Raw genomic sequence first — 2,351 nt, 5'->3', positions numbered from 1 at the left:
GTGACCTTGAGAGCTCTGGTCTCTCAGCTCTTGAGGCAGCGGCCCAGGTTGTACTCTTGGTTCTCAGGGTGTCTTTCTGAGAGTCCCTGGGCAGCCAATTCAGGTGTGTTGTCTCCCTCGTCATCTCTCAAGCAGAGACGGAATTCTTGCTGCCCATGGTAACAGATGCTAGCTTGAATTCATGATCGGCCCAGCAGAGCTGAGATCCTCTCACAGACACGTTGTTAATACCTCAGGGTGGGGAGGTGTGTAGATGAGGGAGGATGGAAGAGAGGGCATCTGCACACTGGCTGGTCCACTAGAGTCTTCTTCCCTTAGCCATGCTTGTGCCTGTCATGACTCTTTGTGTTTTGCCCTCTGCTTCCCCAGACAGCTCGCCAAGAGAGAATGACTCTGAGAAACAGCTCCTCAGTGACTGAGTTTATCCTTGTGGGATTATCAGAACAGCCAGAGCTCCAGCTCCCTCTTTTCCTTCTATTCTTAGGGATCTATGTGTTCACTGTGGTGGGCAACTTGGGCTTGATCACCTTAATTGGGATAAATCCTAGCCTTCACACCCCCATGTACTTTTTCCTCTTCAACTTGTCCTTTATAGATCTCTGTTATTCCTGTGTGTTTACCCCCAAAATGCTGAATGACTTTGTTTCAGAAAGTATCATCTCTTATGTGGGATGTATGACTCAGCTATTTTTCTTCTGTTTCTTTGTCAATTCTGAGTGCTATGTGTTGGTATCAATGGCCTATGATCGCTATGTGGCCATCTGCAACCCCCTGCTCTACATGGTCACCATGTCCCCAAGGGTCTGCTTTCTGCTGATGTTTGGTTCCTATGTGGTAGGGTTTGCTGGGGCCATGGCCCACACTGGAAGCATGCTGCGACTGACCTTCTGTGATTCCAACGTCATTGACCATTATCTGTGTGACGTTCTCCCCCTCTTGCAGCTCTCCTGCACCAGCACCCATGTCAGTGAGCTGGTATTTTTCATTGTTGTTGGAGTAATCACCATGCTATCCAGCATAAGCATCGTCATCTCTTACGCTTTGATACTCTCCAACATCCTCTGTATTCCTTCTGCAGAGGGCAGATCCAAAGCCTTTAGCACATGGGGCTCCCACATAATTGCTGTTGCTCTGTTTTTTGGGTCAGGGACATTCACCTACTTAACAACATCTTTTCCTGGCTCTATGAACCATGGCAGATTTGCCTCAGTCTTTTACACCAATGTGGTTCCCATGCTTAACCCTTCGATCTACAGTTTGAGGAATAAGGATGATAAACTTGCCCTGGGCAAAACCCTGAAGAGAGTGCTCTTCTAATGGGTCTCTTCATATCACTGGCAACCGATTCTCGGTAAGCATGATACTCAAGTGTCTTTCTATTTATAGGCGGAGGAATTTTAATATTTTTCCTCAAAGAGGGTCTCCTCTCCACTTTTAAAAATTGGAAATCTCTTTCCTATACTCTCCTTGAGGACTATATTATTTTGCAACAATTAAATTGGCTCACTGCCTGCAAGTTAGTGTCTATGAAATGCCTTTTGTTTACTGAACTCTGTATTAGGCCCAAGAGATGAGTAAGATGAGGCTCCATGCCTTCCATTCTTTTCTTGGTAGGCTAAATGGGTTTTTCTGAGCAAGAACGTTTCTGGCTGGAACAAGGGGCAGGTGGTGGTATAAAGGTTGAGGAGTGTTTTCTCTTTAGTTACATAAGCAGACTTATTAAAGATCAATGGTAGATACCTTGGTGCCAGTGCTAATATGATTATATATCCAGCTCTTCAGGAGGTTGCTTGGTCAGGAAGATCATAAACCCTCCTTTTCATATACATGTATGTACATAAAAGAAGCCCTCACACAAGAATTTTCTATGATCTGCTCTGTAAGGATAAATCAAATCCAAATCTTTTATTTCAAAGTTCTAAAGCTTCTGGGCCTTGGAATGGTAATCAGGGGTAAGTGATCCTGTGTAATTGGGCCAATTTCTTAGGCTCCGGAGACTCAGGCTGGAAGAAGAAACAAGGAAGAACTCCACGGATTTGCATGATCTGTAAAATGTGGCCTCTGCCTTGCTCTGGAGATACTAAGCACACTACTGGATTTTAGGAAGATTGCTTATTCTTTAAAGTGGATTTAGATTTTACAGTTCTGACAACGTGTGTGCATGTTTATATGTGTGTGTGTGTGTGTGTGTGTGTGTCTGTATGTGTATTACAGTTAATCAATATAGAATCGGAAAGAAAGAGGAGTCATATTACACGTCCCACTCTCAGGGAGTCTGGAAGGGATCTGGATTTTGAGTGCCAAAGACCACTCTGTATTACTCTGCTAAAGGTTCTGCTGTTCTACATTGA

General features: G+C 44.4%; 1 protein-coding gene across 1 annotated transcript; it reads left to right on the top strand.

Annotated features, from left to right (window-relative positions):
* Positions 1–387: 387 nt before the first annotated feature.
* OR8B4 (olfactory receptor family 8 subfamily B member 4) lies at positions 388–1,317 on the top strand. Its single transcript, NM_001005196.1, has one exon. The coding sequence runs from the start codon at positions 388–390 to the stop codon at positions 1,315–1,317; it is 930 nt and encodes a 309-aa protein (NP_001005196.1).
* Positions 1,318–2,351: the final 1,034 nt, after the last annotated feature.

Source organism: Homo sapiens, chromosome 11 (genome assembly GCF_000001405.40).
Source record: "Homo sapiens chromosome 11, GRCh38.p14 Primary Assembly".
NCBI lineage: Eukaryota > Metazoa > Chordata > Mammalia > Primates > Hominidae > Homo > Homo sapiens.
The sequence above is the reverse complement of the archived record's forward strand: the minus strand, read 5'-3'. Positions and strand labels throughout refer to the sequence as shown.

Excerpts from the sequence above, each read along its gene's own strand:
- OR8B4 (NM_001005196.1), top strand. The coding sequence starts at position 388 with ATGACTCTGAGAAACAGCTCCTCAGTGACTGAGTTTATCCTTGTGGGA.